Genomic DNA, 17,484 nt, shown 5'->3' on the forward strand with positions numbered 1-17,484 from the left:
AACGGGCCATGATGACAATGGCGGTTTTGTGGAATAGAAAAGGGGGAAAGGTGAGAAAAAGAATGAGAAATCGGATGGTTGCTGTGTCTGTGTAGAAAGAAGTAGACATGGGAGACTTTTCATTTTGTTCTGTACTAAGAAAAATTCTTCTGCCTTGGGATCCTGTTGATCTATGACCTTACCCCCAACCCTGTGCTCTCTGAAACATGTGCTGTGTCCACTCAGGGTTAAATGGATTAAGGGCGGTGCAAGATGTGCTTTGTTAAACAGACGCTTGAAGGCAGCATGTTCGTTAAGAGTCATCACCACTCCCTAATCTCAAGTACCCAGGGACACAAACACTCTGCCTAGGAAAACCAGAGACCTTTGTTCACTTGTTTATCTGCTGACCTTCCCTCCACTATTGTCCTATGACCCTGCCAAATCCCCCTCTGCGAGAAACACCCAAGAATGATCAATAAAAAAATAAAAAAATTAAAAAAAAAATACAAAGATTAATTTCTCTAATGATCTGAACATAGAAACCAGCAAAGATTTCATGATGAAGATGCAAAAAGCAATTGCAACAAAAGCAAAAATTGACAAATGGGATCTAATTAAACTAAAGAGCTTCTGCATAGCAAAAGAAACTATCAATAGCGTACACAGAAAACCTACAGAAAGGGAAAATTTTTTTGCAAACTATGCATCTGACAAAGGTCTAATATCCAGCATCTGTAAGGAACTCAAATAAATTTACAAGAAAAAGACAAATAACCCCATTAAAAAGTGGGCAAAGGGCATGAACACTTTTCAAAAGAAGAAACACATGTGGCCAACAAGCATATGAGTTCCCCTTTTTTTATTTGCTATGAGGGAACTGTGTCTTATTTATTTTTGTGTCCCAGAAGCTAGCACAAAGCCTGACACACAGCCACTGCTAACAAAATGTTTGTGGATTTATTTAATAAAAGAGTTGGGAGTAGGTGGAGAATGGAGGGTGGGGAGCATCACACATACATGCACATGCTTAAAATGTGGTGATTTCTTCCTGATCTGACCAGATCAAAAATATAAAACAGAAACAGGATCTATGCCATGGGTCCTGGCCCTTTTTGCTTCTGCCAGCATGTGTGAGGAGATGCAGAGACAAATTCCGTGGCAGTTAGAGAACTAACTGCCAAGATGGAGCGAAGGGAACATTTAACCTTGACTTTCCACAGTCCTGAGGTTCCCAAAATAAAGGGGAACCGGAAATACCAAAGGGTGAGGAGGTATCTAATTGAAAGTCAGATGGGAAGAAGAGAACTTACTTAAAGGCAGGGCTACACAGAGCATCCTAAAGACAGAAAAGATCACCCTGAAAATTGTGGGGTTTTTTTTTTTTAGGAGTAGGGAAAAATATCTATAAATCAAACACACATGGGAATGCTTGAGGTAGAGAAGAGCGGGTGACCCTGGGGATCAGGGGTTATTCTTTCGGGTAGGCAATATTTCCCTCATCCTTGTAGCCTACCGTCCCTGCCAAGAAACATCCAAGTGCCTCGATGTCATGCCAAAGGCAGCAGCAGCTTATGGATCAGGCACACATCTACATCCGAACGCTCTGTGGCAGCCTCTGTAGTTTTAGCCTCCTAATGCTGATCGCCATGTCCCCACTGAACTGGGTACAGTTTCTGGTGATCAAGAATGGCCTTGAGCTCTACGCAGGACTCTGGACCTTATGCAACCATGAGCTGTGCTGGAGCCACACACCCAAGCCACCCTGTGAGTGCCACCGAATTAAATGCCACAGGCCCCACACAATTGCAGAGCTTTCTGCTCACACAAATTGGCCCTTCATGTTTCTTCCTCCAAGATCTTTTGGCCTTCACCTCTCCAAGTGCAGGATGGATCTTTCTTTGGTATCCTCAGTGTGCCCTTTCTCTCTCCTATTCCAGGTTGTTTCCTGTCCTAAATAATGGGTTATACTCTCTTTATGGGAAGAACTGTTTTTGTTTGTTGGTTGGTTTTTCGAGACAGGCTCTTGCTCTAACGCCTAGCCGAAGTGCAAAAGCACTATCATTGCTCACTGCAGCCTCCACCTCCAGGACTCAAGCAATCTTCCTGTTCAACCTCCTGAGTAGGTGGAACTACAGATGTGTGCCAACACTCCTGGCTAATTTTTAATTTTTTTAAATTTTTTTTTCTTTTGTAGAGACAAGTTCTCATTATATTTCCCAGGCTGGTCTCAAAGTCCTGGCCTCAAGTGATCCTCCCAAAGTACCAGGACTATAGGTGTAAGCCACCATGCCTGCCCTAGGAATAACTCATTTACAAGGTGTTACTGCTAAGCAATGTGATTGGTATTCTAATGTGGCTTGCAGAATTAGAAGAGAAGTGATTGATCATAGCTGGAAGATAAAGCAAATATCTTAACCTCTATTAGATTTAACTTTCAAGGTCAGCTTGTTCTTCTCCTAGCAGTGGAATAGAACTTAAATGTACGTTAGATATGTGGTATAACAAATGCCAGCTATGAAGATAATGTTATTTATGTCAAATTTTATGTGAATTTAAATAAATCTGAAAGTGCAACACAAAATATTTTAAAATAAGTTTTTGGGGCTAAAAATAACATATGCATGAATTTTTCAATCAAACCAAAAACTTAGAGGAAAGATATCATTACACTGACAGTTTTCCCATAACCCGCAAGATATACATTTACACAAAGAAGTGGGTATTGTGAAAGAAAACATATGTGAGTAAAGCATCTATTCTCATCACATAAGCAGGGGTCCCATCTATTCTCCTCACATAAGCAGGAGGGGAGCACCTGTGCCCAACTCTGAGGTACAGCATCAGTTGTTTGGCCATGGGCTGTGACATTTGATATTAAGGGACAGTATCCTGCATGATCTTGAGAAGAAACTAAAATCAAAGGCAGACAGACAATTCAACTGCATAAAACGAAAACTAGAGAAAATATTTGCAACAATTATGAAAGATAAAGGTTAATGGCCTTAATATAGTAAAAGGATACACAAAGTATTACAAAGACACAAACTCAAATAAATAAGTTCTTTTTGAACAGACATGCACAAAAGAAGAACTATAACTATCTAATAAACATAGGAAAAATAATTTAACCTCAATCATTAAAGAAAGGTAAATCAAATGAATAACAAGATGTAACTTTTCAACCACCATATTAACAGATTTTTAAATGATAATGCAACTGCTATCACTCCCATACGCATTCCTGTACATGCCATGCAAATTGGTATAACTAAAGCAATATGATTAGGTGTATCCAGAGACTTAAAAATGTTCATCTCCTTTGAGTAAATAATTCCATTTCTAGAAATTAATTCCAAGGAAATAACTAGAAATGGATTAAAAGGTTTAGGCAAAAAGATTAAGCTGCAATCATATTTATGTAACTGGGTGCCCAGGCTAAAATTTCATCCTTAAGATTATTATTTAAATTTTTAATAAATTAGGGCTGGGTGTGGTGACTCACGCCTGTAATCCCAGTGTTACCAGAAAGGGGTCCTGATCCAGACCCCAGGAGAGGGTTCTTGGATCTTGGGCAAGAAAGAATTCAAGATGAGTCCATAGAGTAAAGTGAAAGCAAATTTAAGAAAGTAAAGGAATAAAAGAATGGCTACTCCATAGGAAGAGGAGCCCCGAGGGCTGCTGTTTGCCCATTTTAATGGCTATTTCTTTATTATATGCTAAACAAGGGGTGAATTATATTCATAAGTTTTTGGGGAAAGAGGTGGGCAATTCCCGGAACTAAGGGTTTCTCCCCTTTTTAGACCATATAGGGTAAATTCCTGACATTGCCATGGCATTTGTTAACTGTCATGGCACTGGTGGGAGTGTCTTTTAGTATGCTAATGCATTATAATTCATGTATAATGAGCAGTGAGGATGATCAGAGGTCACTTTTGTTGCCATCTTGGTTTTAGCGGGTTTTGGCTGGCTTCTTTACCACAGCCTGTTTTATCAGCAAGGTCTTTATGACCTGTATTTTGTGCTGACCTCCTATCATTCAGTGACTAAGAATGCCTTAACCTCCTGGGAATGCAGCCCAGTAGGTTTCAGCCTTATTTTAACCAGCCCCTATTCAAGATGGAGTTGTTCTGGTTCAAACACCTCTGATATCAGCACTTTGGAAGGCTGAGGTGGGGGATCACTTGAGCTTAGGAGTTCAAGACCAGCCTGAGCAACAAGGTAAAACCCTGTCTCTACAAAAAATACAAAAATTAGCTGGGCGTGGTAGTGGGCACCTGCAATCCCAGTTACTTGGGAGGCCGAAGTGGAGAGTTGCTTGAGCCTGGGATGCAGAGGTTGTTGTGAGCCGAGATTGAGCTACTGTACTCTAGCCTGGGTGACACAGTGAGACCCTGTCTCAAAAAAGAAAAAAATTAATACATTAGAATCCCGAAATTATGTCACTTAAAGCAGTGAATAGTTTATTTCTTGGAGCCCTGGATTCACCTTTATGCAGATAAAGAAAATCAAGGAAATCAAGCCAGCCTGTCACTCAGATTTTGTGGAGTCACTTTGTCACTCACCTTTGTTTATGCTTTGTTTTATCTCTACAGACTGTAATTATTTAGAGAAAGTCAACTGAATCCTTAAGGTGCATAAGTATAAATCAAGTATCCACCCTATTTTCCATGTTATTATAACTAGCTCTAATTCAAGAGTCAGTAATTAATCTGCAATACAGATCTCATAAGAAATATCCCACAATGTAAGCAAAATGTCCAGGCCTCATCTCCCTGTGACAATATAATGTTATTATTGCCCGAATACATTATTTATTTATTTATTTATCTATTTATTTTTGAGATCGAATCTCATTCTGTCACCCAGGCTGGAGTGCAGTGGCGCGATCTTGGCTCACTGCAACCTCTCCCTCCCGGGTTCAAGCAATTCTCCTGCCTCAGCCTCCCAAGTAGCTGGGATTACAGGTGTGCGCCACTGCACCCAGCTAATTTTTGTGTTTTTAGTAGAGATGGGGTTTCACCATGTTAGCCAGGCAGGTCTTGAACTCCTGATCTCAGGTGATCCGCCTGCCTCGGCCTCCCAAAGTGCTCAGATTACAGGCATGAGCCACTGCACCTGGCCTCCGAATACATTATTGTCTAATAATTACTGTCCAATTCAATGACTTCAAACTTTTACCTACTGGATTGCAAGAATTTCGTTCCCCTCCCTGACAGTTTCCTTTCATAAGTCATTTTCGTAAGTTTCACAGGGGCTATCTCAGGTGTGTTTAAGAATGTGCATGCTCATATTCCTATTCCCTGGGCTCACTTCAGGGTGTTGTGCTTCTGTCTCTGAGTTCACCTGGGTCTAGATGACTGACAGCCTCTCTGTTGTGGCTGTTGCTAATGGGATGAAGAAGGGATGGGGAGGAAAGGACAGTATTCTTCACTTTTACTAGGAAGTCTCAAGTGTAGAACAGACCCTTCTGTTATTTTCCCATAGCACTGGTGAGATCAGGCTGAAATATAAAGGATATATTGCCACAGAGAGTAGTTTGAACTGTTTTGCAGAGCGTGGGAAAGAAAGGGTAAGTCTTTTTGTCAAGGCACTGGGCACCCTAGAGTTAGGACCCTAGGAACAACCATATAGTACACATTGCCAAGCTGTGTAGGGATGCTTTATTCTGGCACTCCAACTGGGTTACGAGGGGACTTAAATACTAAGCAGATTTCATAGATACCTCTTCAGGGTCCTAAGTCTCCACCCAGGATCATTTCCATTCCAAAACCACCCACTTGGGGCACCTCATCTGAGCCTGGAGAAGTTGTATGTTGCCTTCCGTGCCTTGAAAGCGGTCACAATGGCAGCAGCGTGGAAGTTCAGATTTGGCTAAATAAGTGAGCTGATTCCCCAGCTTGTCTCCAGCAACACCACTTTCCAAAAGCTCCCTGGCCAACTTTTACTTCCACAACAGTAGAAGGAGATCCCGCCCATTATTTACAAACTGCCAAATGGTGAACGTTCTCATTTCACTGAGATCTGAGGGGATGCCACAGAACACTACTGCTTTCTGGTTGGGTGATGCCCCCTCCAATCTTGGTAGGGGTTTTACATCTCACCCAATGGTACTCTGAAGTGTAGCATCGCTGACTGATGCTGGGCTGATCCCGAGAACATCTACGAAAATCTTACCAAGTTTTTCAGATGATTTGTACTTCCTCCTCAAATTGAAAGTGACATCCTTTCTCTTCCCAAGGTATTAGTTTCAGTAAGCTGGGAGAAGTGCCTTGGTATTCTTGTAACTTAAGTCTGCATCAAAGTATATCAGTAAGGAAAACATCAAAAATGTTTGGATACAGTTGACCCAGACAGGTGACACAGGGGTGTTCGTTTTATCTCAGGCACTCCTTTTTCCGGACCAAGGCTTCTTACAGAAACATACAAGCAGAGCCTTTTGTGATTTAGATCCTAAGATTTTTGAAACTTTGATGAGTAAGCTGTTGTAAAAACTGTTGTTTAAAAGCTGAAATTAGCTTTGGTGTTACAGGAGATAGAAGCTTGAAATCAGCTTTTGGACATTTATTTATTTAGAGTAATATGAATTAAAAAACTATAAAGTTAACCAAATGCAGATGTCTTAGACTCTGAATATAAGTGTGTAGTTTGTTTATATAATTTGTTGTATATGATTATTCCTAATAGACTTGGTTACTTTGGGAAGGTTAGACTCTTCTATGCTGCACATCTTTAAATTGTTCCTTCAGAGTTGTGAGGATCTTGTTTATGTAGTTTTCAGGAGATGAGAAGGTAACACAGAGAGAATTGTAAGAAATATATAAAGTTGCAGTCTTCTCCTCATGGTAGAAGAGGAACTGGACTTTATATGTTAGGCTGGAGTTGGACAGGAAATATCCTCGACAGTGCTCCTTGGTGTTTTGAATATTAAAATCATTTGAATTAGTGCAAGCTAAAGAGTGAACTTATTTATAAAGATTCAGAAGAATCTGCCAGGTGTGGTGGCTCAAGACTGTAATCCCAGCACTTTGGGAGTCTGAGGTGGGCAGATCGCTTGAGCTCAGGAGTTTGAGACCAGCCTGGGCAACATGGTGAAACCCCACCTCCACCAAAAATACAAAAAATTAGCCAGGTGTGGTAGTGTGCACCTGTGGTCCCAGCTACTCAAGAGGCTGAGGTGGGAGGATAGCTTGAGTCTGGGAGTTGGAGGCTGCAGTGAGTAGAGATCATGCTACTGCACTCCAGCCTGGGTTACAGACTGAGACCCCGTCTCAAAGAAAAAGATAAAGAAAAAAAAATGTGGCTCAGAAGAATAACATAGACTCCCAAGGCAGGAAGTTCGCTGGACCTTAGGGGATTCCAGAGGAGGCTGGGATCTCAGATAAAGAAAATCAAGCCAGCCAGTCACTCAGATTTTCTACAGTCACTTTGTCATTCAGCTTTGTTTATGTTTTGTTTTATCTCTACAGCTCAGTTTTTCCTGTTTATTAGTGTGTAAGTGCCTAAAAGGTGATACCCCGGTCAAACTTTACATCTTCTCAGTTCAAGCAAGCAAAAGAGGAAATCCAATTTCTAAGCATAAGAATAAAATTGTCCCAGGATGGGTCAGGTTCCCATGCTTAGTCCAGGTAGCTATAGTCAGAGGGCTATACAGACAATAGTCAAGGGCTATAGACAAGGGCTGCTAGAGCTCATGGAGGATTGTGGACTAAATACCACAAAGGCTGCCTGTTACCCTGGGCTTCATACAGCTCAATCTGGGCTTATGTTCTGGCTGGCTACATATACTGCTAATTCTGCATAACCCAGTCTTCAGAAAATGTGCAGCTTGTGAATTACTATGTTTTAATGTGGCTCACTTGTTAGGGCTACAGAGCAACTTAACATCTGTGGATAGGGGTGTGGTTTCTCTGAATGGAAATTCCTGCAATTCATCATATTAGTAAGTGGCAGGTTCTGGAGAACAAAATGAAACAAGGAGGCAGATATTAGACTGGATAAGCTTGATACATAATTTCTGCTCTCTGGGTTACTCAGAAGCTGGACTTGGATTCTTAGGCATATAAGTGGTTAGAGAACTTTCTAACCACTGGGGTGGGGGTGAGCTGGTCCCTGCTACACTGGGACAGAAAAAGAAGCTAGATAAGGAGGCACCTTATAAGGGATACTGAAGATATTCCTGGGTGTCTGGTAGCTCAGAAAAGCTATAGCTACTTGTAATTATAAGTTATCTTCTAAATCTTCAGTAAAATATTGATGGGGAAGTCGAAGAACCTGTTCCATCTTAGGGATGTGGTAGCAAAAAGTAAGGTTGAGCATATCCCCGCTGCTCTCTTACCAACATCCAGTCCGCAGTGGCAGAGCCAAAGAGAAGACACCTAGAGCCAAAGATGGAAGAAGGAGAGGTGTGGCACTTGGATAAGAGCAACTTGAACAAATATGAGATAGGACTTTGGGGGACTCTCAGAATAAAAAAAAAGTGGAGGGAAACACTTTGTGGTAAGTTCCTGCAGCTTGGTAAATTGGGGCTTGAAATCATCATAATATGGAATTAAAGTAAATGAGGCTGGGCGAGGTGGCTCACGCCTTTAATCCCAGCACTTTGAGAGGTCAAGGCGGGCAGATCACCTGAGGTCAGGAGTTCAAGACCAGCCTGGCCAACATGGTGAAACCCTGTTTCTACTAAAAAAAAACAAAAATTAGCCAGGCATGGTGGCATGTGCCTGTAATCTCAGCTACTCTGGGTGACAGAATGAGACTCTGTCTCAAAAAAATAATAATAAAATAAAGAAATAGATAAATAAAGTAAATGTGACTTCATTTTGTAGTCATAGGCTGACAAGGCCTGTACATGCCAGATAGAGCTGGAAGTGAAAAACCAATGGAACTAAACAATGGGTAAGTCATTAAGCAAAGTATATTAATATGATAGAATATTTTGTAGCCATCGAAAATAATATTTACAACAGATAATGGGGAAAATCACATCATATATTCTTAAGAAAAAAACCCACATGATATCTAGTATCATATCTACTATGTACAGAGGGTAGAAAAATAAAATATTAACAATGGTTGCCTCTAGGTAGTCAAATTGTGGCTAATTTTTTTCCTGCTTCTTTGTTCTTTTGTAGTCTTTTGAATACTTATGTTGAACGCGTATTACTTACTACTTTTAGAATTAGAATTAGAAACAAGAAAAAGGTTTAATCTGTTTTGTCATTGGTGACACCTTTTATAAGCTAGTTTATATCTAAATCAATGCATGCAGAAGTATTTGTATATTATCTTTAGTTTAACAATCATAGTAAAGAAATTCCAAGCAAAAAGGATGTCATGTAGCAAGCTCTGCTCCATCATCCTTTGTTCTTAAATCCTTCTCTAAGACTCTATCTGGCCTTTTTAAGGGAAGGTCCCTCACTGGACTAACCACGGTCTTCCTTTCCTCTTCTTCATGCAGATTATCTCCAATATTCCAGGGCCTTCTTTCTCATCTCTGTCTTTACCATACTTACTGGCCTTGGCTGGCTCTTCAGCTCTTGGATCCTTAATCGAGGAAGCATGACCACCAACTTGGATCTGAAGGTATCCATGCTCAGCTTCATCTCAGGTACAGACCTAGACTGGCAGGGTATTTTACCATGGTAAAATAGTCAAGGTAACAAATTTTCTCTGTGGAACTCTCATACTCTTTTTCTTATCTCTTTGCTCTTCTTCAGTATCACACCAACTTGCCAGCTATCTGCCTTATCTAATTATATAGAACACACCTTAGCTGACTTTACCAGGGTATAGAGCCTTTCTCTCATCTTGGTCAGTCCCCAGGTTTTTATCTTTTTGATCCTCGCTATACATATGGCCTCTGGAGGCCAAAGAGCTGGGGGTGGCGGGGAAGACAGACTGAAGATGCTGATGGGTTGTGACATCTTTCCTTCTGGTCCTAGCTACCTGCTTGCTCCTCTGCCTCAACCTGTTTGTGGCACAGGTTCACTGGCATACTAGGGATGCCATGGAGTCAGATCTCCTATGGACCTATTATCTTAACTGGTGCAGTGACATCTTTTACATGTTTGCTGGTGAGTCACTTCCCTGCTCTATGCTAGAAGGATGGATAGGGAAATCGCTTCTGGAAAGGGAGGTATAATCCAGGAGAAATAGAAGCACTGACTGTTCCTTTTCAGAACACTGATACTTGGAGAGTCAGGGGGGCATAATGAAGAAAGGGTGGATTTTAGAGTCTGAAAACCTAGCATTAGTAACCTGCTCTATCACAAAGTGAGGCATGGACAAGTTGAGTAACTTGCCCAAGACCACACAGAAAATAGTGGAACTATGATCTGAATCCAGGAGGTTCAAGCTTTGTCCTAATCAGTCTGAGAAATATTATAATGCAATTAGAGCACAGGAGGGTAAAGTAACTCCACTGGGGGAGAGAGGGGTTCACTGAAAAGATGCCTCTTGAACTGGTTATTAAAGGATGCATAAGAATTTTAAAAGCCAAAAGACCATTGCCTATTGAACCTCACCTCAAATTATTCCCTTCCCGTAGGGATCATCTCTCTTCTCAACTACTTAACTTCCAGATCGCCTGCCTGTGATGAAAACGTCACTGTGATTCCAACAGAGAGATCAAGGCTGGGGGTTGGTCCGGTGACTACAGTATCACCTGCTAAAGATGAAGGGCCAAGGTCTGAGATGGAATCTCTAAGTGTGAGAGAGAAAAATTTACCAAAGTCAGGACTGTGGTGGTGATAGGAAAACCTAACTATAGCTTGTCTTAAAAGCAGGGGAGAAGCTGAGTTGGGAATGGTCACATAAATTCTGGGAAACTCTCCTAATATCATGTCCATATTACTTGAGGAGACAGCATTAAAGCTGATGAAATGTCTTTTGCGTGCATTGGATCCAAAATATATATGATAGTCATAAAGTAAATAACTCACTTAAGAAAAACATTTCTAAAAGAAAACAACAATGTTTAGAGTCATGAATGAAAGAAACTAGTGAAAGATGCAGTGTGTAGACCAGAGACCTCTTTGGGTATCAGGGATCTCATGGACCAGAATGGCCCGTGGAGAAGAATGTTAATTACTTCTGTTTGGAATTTTCTTTATTATGTGTGGCTTTGGGTATACTCAGGATGGAAAGCACTTGGACAAATACTGTTGAATCTGAACTTAATAGCATTACCAGAAATGGAATAAATATCAATGGATATAAGACCTACTACTCAAAGGAACTGAGAGGTGCTGGGTAGATTCCAGGGAATCCATGGGGTCCCACTTACTGTGAGGATTGGTAATTTGAAACATTTACAGTCTATTACGTAAAACCACTGCTTCTCCCTAGGCAGGGAGATACCTTAACCAGGCATCCACAAACTCCCTGAAATTCTATACAAAACTTGTATATGTATTCTTCTGTGAAGAGAGCCAGAGATTCCATCAGATTCTTCCTTCCCCCCGCCCCGCCCCCAGAAGATAGTTTCATGTAAACTCCATCAAATTCTTGACAGGCTGGTGACCGCTTTGATTCCTTAAGCATCAATTATGTTTTACTGAGCCAAATGGGACTACAGGGCTTCCTTCAGCAGATGGATAGATAGATAAATAGATAGATAGATAATAGATTGATAGATGATAGATCGATAGATAGGCCTATCTATCTATATCTATAATACATCTACATCTATATCTATACAAACTGAAAGATTTTCCATGTTTTATATATCCTGTAAAGCTAAGTACGGAGGGAGGAGGTGGTATTTTCAGGCAATCATATAGGTCTTTTGATGGCTAAAGATCCCTTTCACACTCAGACTAGATTTCACACATAAAGTTCCTGATACTCATTTTGTCTTTCATACCCTTAGTTGCTGCCACTACTGCTGTATTGGTTGAGATCCATTCTTCTCCCCAAAGCTGGCAATGAAATGGACTATAGTGTCCAGCTTCACCTCTTGCTGCATGTAAAGATAAGCCCTTGGGTCTATTTGGTTTAATTTAGAGATTCACTAGTAACCTTTGCAGAAAACCCAAATAATAGACATTGAGCAATTATATAATTCTTGTAATCCTGGTCCTGATCAGTAATTCCCAAACATTTCCAGATGGTAACTGGAAGCCCTTTAAGTTAATACTTATGCTTTTATTCCTGTGGGTTGGAGCTTATACACAGCACACACTTGTATGCACCCACACACAGATACACAAACAGACATATATACACACACCTCATTTTGATCCTGCCTTAGAAAACCCTTTCTTCACGCCCCTCTTCCAATCAGGTGAGTTTCGTTATGGCAGAATTACTTGTGCCTCCTTGCTTCAAGTGGCCTTAGTTCAGAGGCTCTTCAGGCTGTTTCTGGGCCTTTGTCTGCTTATAAGAACAGGCATGTAGTCAAAGCCAACTCTCCCTCCTCACATTACCACTCACACAAACTCTAACCTATACATTAACTGGTTAAGTACTCACTGGGTTCACAATCTTTATTCGTAATTTAGTTTGAATACTTTCATTATATGACTAAATTGACAGGATGCTGAACACTGATGACTCTTCAGGGAACAAAAGTTCTAAATGGGGCGAAGAGAAGAAAGTAAGTCTGAGTGAAGGTGGAAGAAGCGAGATAATAAGAAAGTAACGCCAGGTACGATGGCTCACGCCTGTAATCCCAGCACTTTGGGAGGCCAAGGCAGGCGGATTGCCTGAGGTCGGGAGTTCGAGACCAGCCTGGCTAGCATGGTGAAACCCCATCTCTACTAAAAATACAAAAATTAGCCAGGCGTGGTGGCAGGCACCTGTATTCCCAGCTACTTGGGAAGCTGAGGTAGGAGAATTGCTTGAAACCCGGGAGGCGGAGGTTGCAGTGAGCCGAGGCTGCGCCATTGCACTCCAACCTGGGCAACAGAGTGAGACTTCATCTCAAAAAACAAAAAGAAAAAAGAAAAGAAAGGAAGACAGTAACAAGTGCCCTGGCTATTAGAGGATAATTGGCAGTAATTATAACTAAGTTTTCCACTTTGCTACTGGAGAATTATCTTTTAAGCAAAGATAATTTTCATTGCTCCTTTAGAAACTGAATGCTTTCTATTTTCTTTTTTCTCTTTTTCTTTGCTTGTAAATAATTCCTTAAAAGGCTTAAGTGGGCCGGGTGCTATGGCTTACACCTGTAATCCCAGCACTTTGGGAGGCCAAGGCGGGCGGATCACTTGAGACCAGGAGTTCGAGACCAGCCTGGCCAATATGGTGAGACCCCGTCTCTACTAAAAACACAAAAATCAGCCAGGCATGGTGGCGCGCACCTGTAATCCCAGCTGCTTGGGAAGCTGAGGCAGAAGAATTGCTTGAACCTGGGAGGCTGAGGTTGCAGTGAGCTGGGATTGAGTCACTGCACTCCAGCCTGGGCGACAGAGTGTGAGACCCTGTCTCAAAAAAAAAAAAAAAAAAAAAAAAAAAAAACTTAAGTGAATTTCCAGTCAGATAGCTCAGTAAATTACCCTTTCGTGCACTCTCTTTGTTCCGTATATATTTTATAATAGGTTAAGTGGGAAGAGAGAGAGGGAGAGAGAGAGAGAATAGTCCAGTCAAAACGAGATAAACATTTTCATAGACTGGAAAAAAGAAAAAAGCAATGGTATGATTCAAGCTAAGCCCTAGACTTCGTAAGCTGTAAGTCCCAGAGAAAGCATAGGTGAACAGGGAGATAGCTCCTATGGGGTGAAAGGGACTAAAAGTGCTTCTCAAGACACGGACTAAAGCCAGCTTCACAACCCTACATCAAAGAGGAGCTCTAGAAAAGAAGCTAAACAAAAACTGCTGCCCAGCACTAACTAGCTTATTTGGAACAGCAGACCTAACGAGGGAGAAGGACACAAATATAACCTTGCTAAACTAAGCAGCCTGTGGGTTCATTAACTGTGTCTCTGATATTCCTTGGTAGCATAATAGAACAGAAAATCTAAAATATCACATTATCAGACCTGATTCTGGACTGAGGCCTTTGGCCAATGTAAGGAAACCCCAAAACTACCAGGTATGATAGAATAAGCATAGAGGGAGAAAGAAACAAAAACAAATAAACCAAATGTTTGTGCCTACAAATAAGAATTCCAGACATGTAAAGAAATGTTCAGTTGGGCGTGGTGGCTCATGCCTGTAATTCCAGCACTTTGGGAGGCCAAGGCAAGAGGATTGCTTGAGCCAATTAGTTTGAGACCAGCCCTGACAACATAGTGAGACCCTATCTGTACAAAAAATTACAAAATTAGCTGGGTGCGGTGCCGCACTCCTGTAGTCCTAGGAGCTTGGGAAGTCCTGTAGTTTCTGAATCCTTGAGCCCGGGAGGTCGGGTCTCCAGTGACCATGGTCATGCCACTGCACTCCAGCCTGGGCAACAGAGCAAGACTCTGTCTGAAAAAAAAAGTTCAGAAAAAAACTAACAAAGTCAACAATCAGAATATGAAATCATTCTAGATTAATTTGGGGTATAATGTGATAAAGACTATTCTTAGGATGCACAGATACATGACAGAATCATAAATTTAAAAAAAAGACCCAAAACTGTGAAACAAAAACAGGTAGAAATAAAACAAGAACAGGTTTAAATAAGAAAGAACCAACTATCAATCATTAAAATGAAAAAGTACTAATTGGAATAAAAATCCAATAGGATAAAATCTAGATAGCACAAGCAACAAAAAGAGAAACTTTGATTTTTAGATCTATCTAGAGTACTTACAAAAAATCGACCAAATACTATATAGTTTTAATAAATGTCAAAGGATATATCAGTCCATGGATCCTGACTGTAATGAAATTAAATTAGAACTCAATAATGAGAGTGATTAAAAAAAAATACTTGGCCAGACATGGTGGCTCATGCCTGTAATCCCAGCACTTTGGGAAGCAGAGGCAGATGGATCACTTGAGTCCAGGAGTTTGAGATCAGCCTGGCCAACATGGTGAAACCCCATCTCTACTTAAAAAAAGAAAAAATAGATTGGGGAAGTTCTCCTGGATAATATCCTGCAGAGTGTTTTCCAACTTGGTTCCATTCTCCCCGTCACTTTCAGGTACACCAATCAGACGTAGATTTGGTCTTTTCACATAGTCCCATATTTCTTGGAGGCTTTTTTCATTTCTTTTTATTCTTTTTCCTCTAAACTTCTCTTCTCGCTTCATTTCATTCATTTGATCTTCCATCACTGATACCCTTTCTTCCAGTTGATCAAATCGGCTACTGAGGCTTGTGCATTCGTCACGTAGTTCTCGTGCCGTGGTTTTCAGCTCCATCAGGTCCTTTAAGGACTTCTCTGCATTGGTTATTCTAGTTAGCCATTCGTCTAATCTTTTTGCAATGTTTTTAACTTCTTTGCTGTGGGTTCGAACTTCCTCTTTTAGCTCGGAGAAGTTTGATTGTCTGAAGCCTTCTTCTCTCAACTCATCAAAGTCATTCTCCGTCCAGCTTTGTTCCGTTGCTGGTGAGGAGCTGCATTCCTTTGGAGGAGGAGAGGCGCTCTGATTTTTAGAATTTTCAGTTTTTCTGCTCTGTTTTTTCCCCATCTAATGCAATATGGATTAAAGACTTAAATGTTAGACCTAAAACCATAAAAACCCTAGAAGAAAACCTAGGCATTACCATTCAGGACATAGGCATGGGCAAGGACTTCATGTCTAAAACGCCAAAAGCAATGGCAACAAAAGCCAAAATTGACAAATGGGATCTAATTAAACTAAAGAGCTCCTTCACAGCAAAAGAAACTACCATCAGAGTGAACAGGGAACCTACAGAATGGGAGAAAATTTTTGCAATCTACCCATCTGACAAAGGGCTAATATCCAGAATCCGCAAAGAACTCAAACAAATTTACAAGAAAAAATCAAACAAACCCATCAAAAAGTGGGCGAAGGATATGAACAGACACTTCTCAAAAGAAGACATTTATGCAGCCAACAGACACATGAAAAAATGCTCATCATCACTGGCCATCAGAGAAATGCAAATCAAAACCACAACGAGATACCATCTCACACCAGTTAGAATGACAATCATTAAAAAGTCAGGAAACAACAGGTGCTGGAGAGGATGTGGAGAAATAGGAACACTTTTACACTGTTGGTGGGATTGTAAACTATTTCAACCATTGTGGAAGTCAGTGTGGCGATTCCTCAGGGATGTAGAACTAGAAATACCATTTGACCCAGCCATCCCATTACTGGGTATATACCCAAAGGAGTATAAATCATGCTGCTATAAAGACACATGCACACGTGTGTTTATTGTGGCACTATTCACAATAGCAAAGACTTGGAACCAACCCAAATGTCCAACAATGATAGACTGGATTAAGAAAATGTGGCACATATACACTATGGAATACTATGCAGCCATAAAAAATGATGAGTTCATGTCCTTCGTAGGGACATGGATGAAGCTGGAAACCATCATTCTCAGCAAACTATCGCAAGGACCAAAAACCAAACACCACATGTTCTCACTCATAGGTGGGAATTGAACAATGAGAACACTTGGACACAGGAAGGGGAGCATCACATTCCAGGGCCTGTTGTGGGGTGGGGGGAGTGGGGAGGGGGGAGGGATAGCATTAGGAGATATACCTAATGTAAATGACGAGTTAATGAGTGCAGCACACCAACATGGCACATGAATACATATGTAACAAACCTGCATGTTGTGCACATGTACCCTAGAACTTAAAGTATAATAATAAAAAAAATAGCTGGGTGCAATGGCAGGTGCCTGTAGTCCCAGCTACTTGGGAGGCTGAGACACAAGAATTGCTTGAGCCTGGGAGGAAGAGGTTGCAGTGAGCTGAGATCACGTCACTGCACTCCAGCATGGGTAACAGAACTAGACTCTTCAAAACAAAACAAAACAGAAACAAACAGAAACAAAAACAAAAACAAAGCTCTACATCTTTTAGGACAAAATAATGCTCCCTAAAAAAATTGGGTAAAAAGGAAATCACAATGGAAATGATAAAATATTTAGAACTAAACAACCATGAAAGAATTACTATAACCAAAACCCATAGATGCATTAAAAACAAAACAACCAACAAAAATAGTTTAAAATAAATGAGTTATGCATGCAATTCACGAACCTGTAAAAGAATAACTAGAAAAGACCAAAGAAGGAAGAAAATTTTTAAACTAAACTTTGTAAAAATATGAAAAAACCTTAGGTTCAAATGACAGACTAAAATCTATTTCTTTGGACAAAAACTAAATGAAAGGCAAACTACAAGTAAACCTAATTAAGCAAAAAAAAAAAAAAAAAAGAGTGAAAGCATGAAAAGGACATAACTAAAGTATATACGTAGGTATACATATTTACATATACATTACTCAAGCATATTTTATTGTTTAAATCTTCTGTTTCTTTACTGCTCTTTGGTGTTTTTGTTTGTTTGTTTTGAGATGGAGTCTTGCTCTGTCTCCCAGGCTGGAGTGCAGTGGCGTGATCTTGGCTTCCTGCAGCCT

The 17,484-nt window shown here is 40.7% G+C and overlaps 1 protein-coding gene and 1 long non-coding RNA gene across 7 annotated transcripts in view; one reads left to right on the forward strand and one right to left on the reverse strand.

Annotated features, from left to right (window-relative positions):
* Positions 1 to 1,142: 1,142 nt before the first annotated feature.
* Positions 1,143 to 11,205, forward strand: TMEM202 (transmembrane protein 202). 6 transcript variants are annotated; one of them, XM_011521497.3, is made up of 5 exons: positions 1,143 to 1,253; positions 1,491 to 1,746; positions 9,440 to 9,589; positions 9,924 to 10,055; positions 10,529 to 11,205. In XM_011521497.3, the coding sequence occupies exons 2-5, from the start codon at positions 1,527 to 1,529 to the stop codon at positions 10,729 to 10,731; spliced, it is 705 nt and encodes a 234-aa protein (XP_011519799.1). In that variant the 5' UTR covers positions 1,143 to 1,253; positions 1,491 to 1,526; the 3' UTR covers positions 10,732 to 11,205. The 6 variants fall into 6 exon arrangements, 4 of the variants coding, with proteins under 4 accessions (XP_011519799.1, NP_001073931.1, XP_011519801.1 ...); NM_001080462.3 differs by having other exon boundaries at positions 1,143 to 1,245; XM_011521499.3 differs by lacking the exon at positions 1,491 to 1,746 and adding an exon at positions 8,808 to 8,877 and having other exon boundaries at positions 1,143 to 1,245.
* TMEM202-AS1 (TMEM202 antisense RNA 1) overlaps positions 10,617 to 17,484 on the reverse strand; it is a 66,461-nt gene continuing 59,593 nt past the window's right edge. The window contains exons 3-4 of the long non-coding RNA NR_135678.1: positions 12,212 to 12,354; positions 10,617 to 10,683 (exon numbers count right to left, since the gene is read on the reverse strand). This is a non-coding gene — a long non-coding RNA (TMEM202 antisense RNA 1). The remainder of the gene's footprint in view (positions 10,684 to 12,211; positions 12,355 to 17,484) is intronic.

Source organism: Homo sapiens, chromosome 15 (genome assembly GCF_000001405.40).
Source record: "Homo sapiens chromosome 15, GRCh38.p14 Primary Assembly".
NCBI lineage: Eukaryota > Metazoa > Chordata > Mammalia > Primates > Hominidae > Homo > Homo sapiens.

Bases quoted from the DNA above. Each gene is read 5' to 3' on its own strand.
- TMEM202 (NM_001080462.3), top strand. From the start codon at position 1,165: ATGGAGCGAAGGGAACATTTAACCTTGACTTTCCACAGTCCTGAGGTT. The intron at 1,246-1,490 runs GTGAGGAGGTAT...TCATCCTTGTAG, and splicing joins GGAACCGGAAATACCAAAGG to CCTACCGTCCCTGCCAAGAA. The intron at 10,056-10,528 runs GTGAGTCACTTC...CCCTTCCCGTAG, and splicing joins CATCTTTTACATGTTTGCTG to GGATCATCTCTCTTCTCAAC.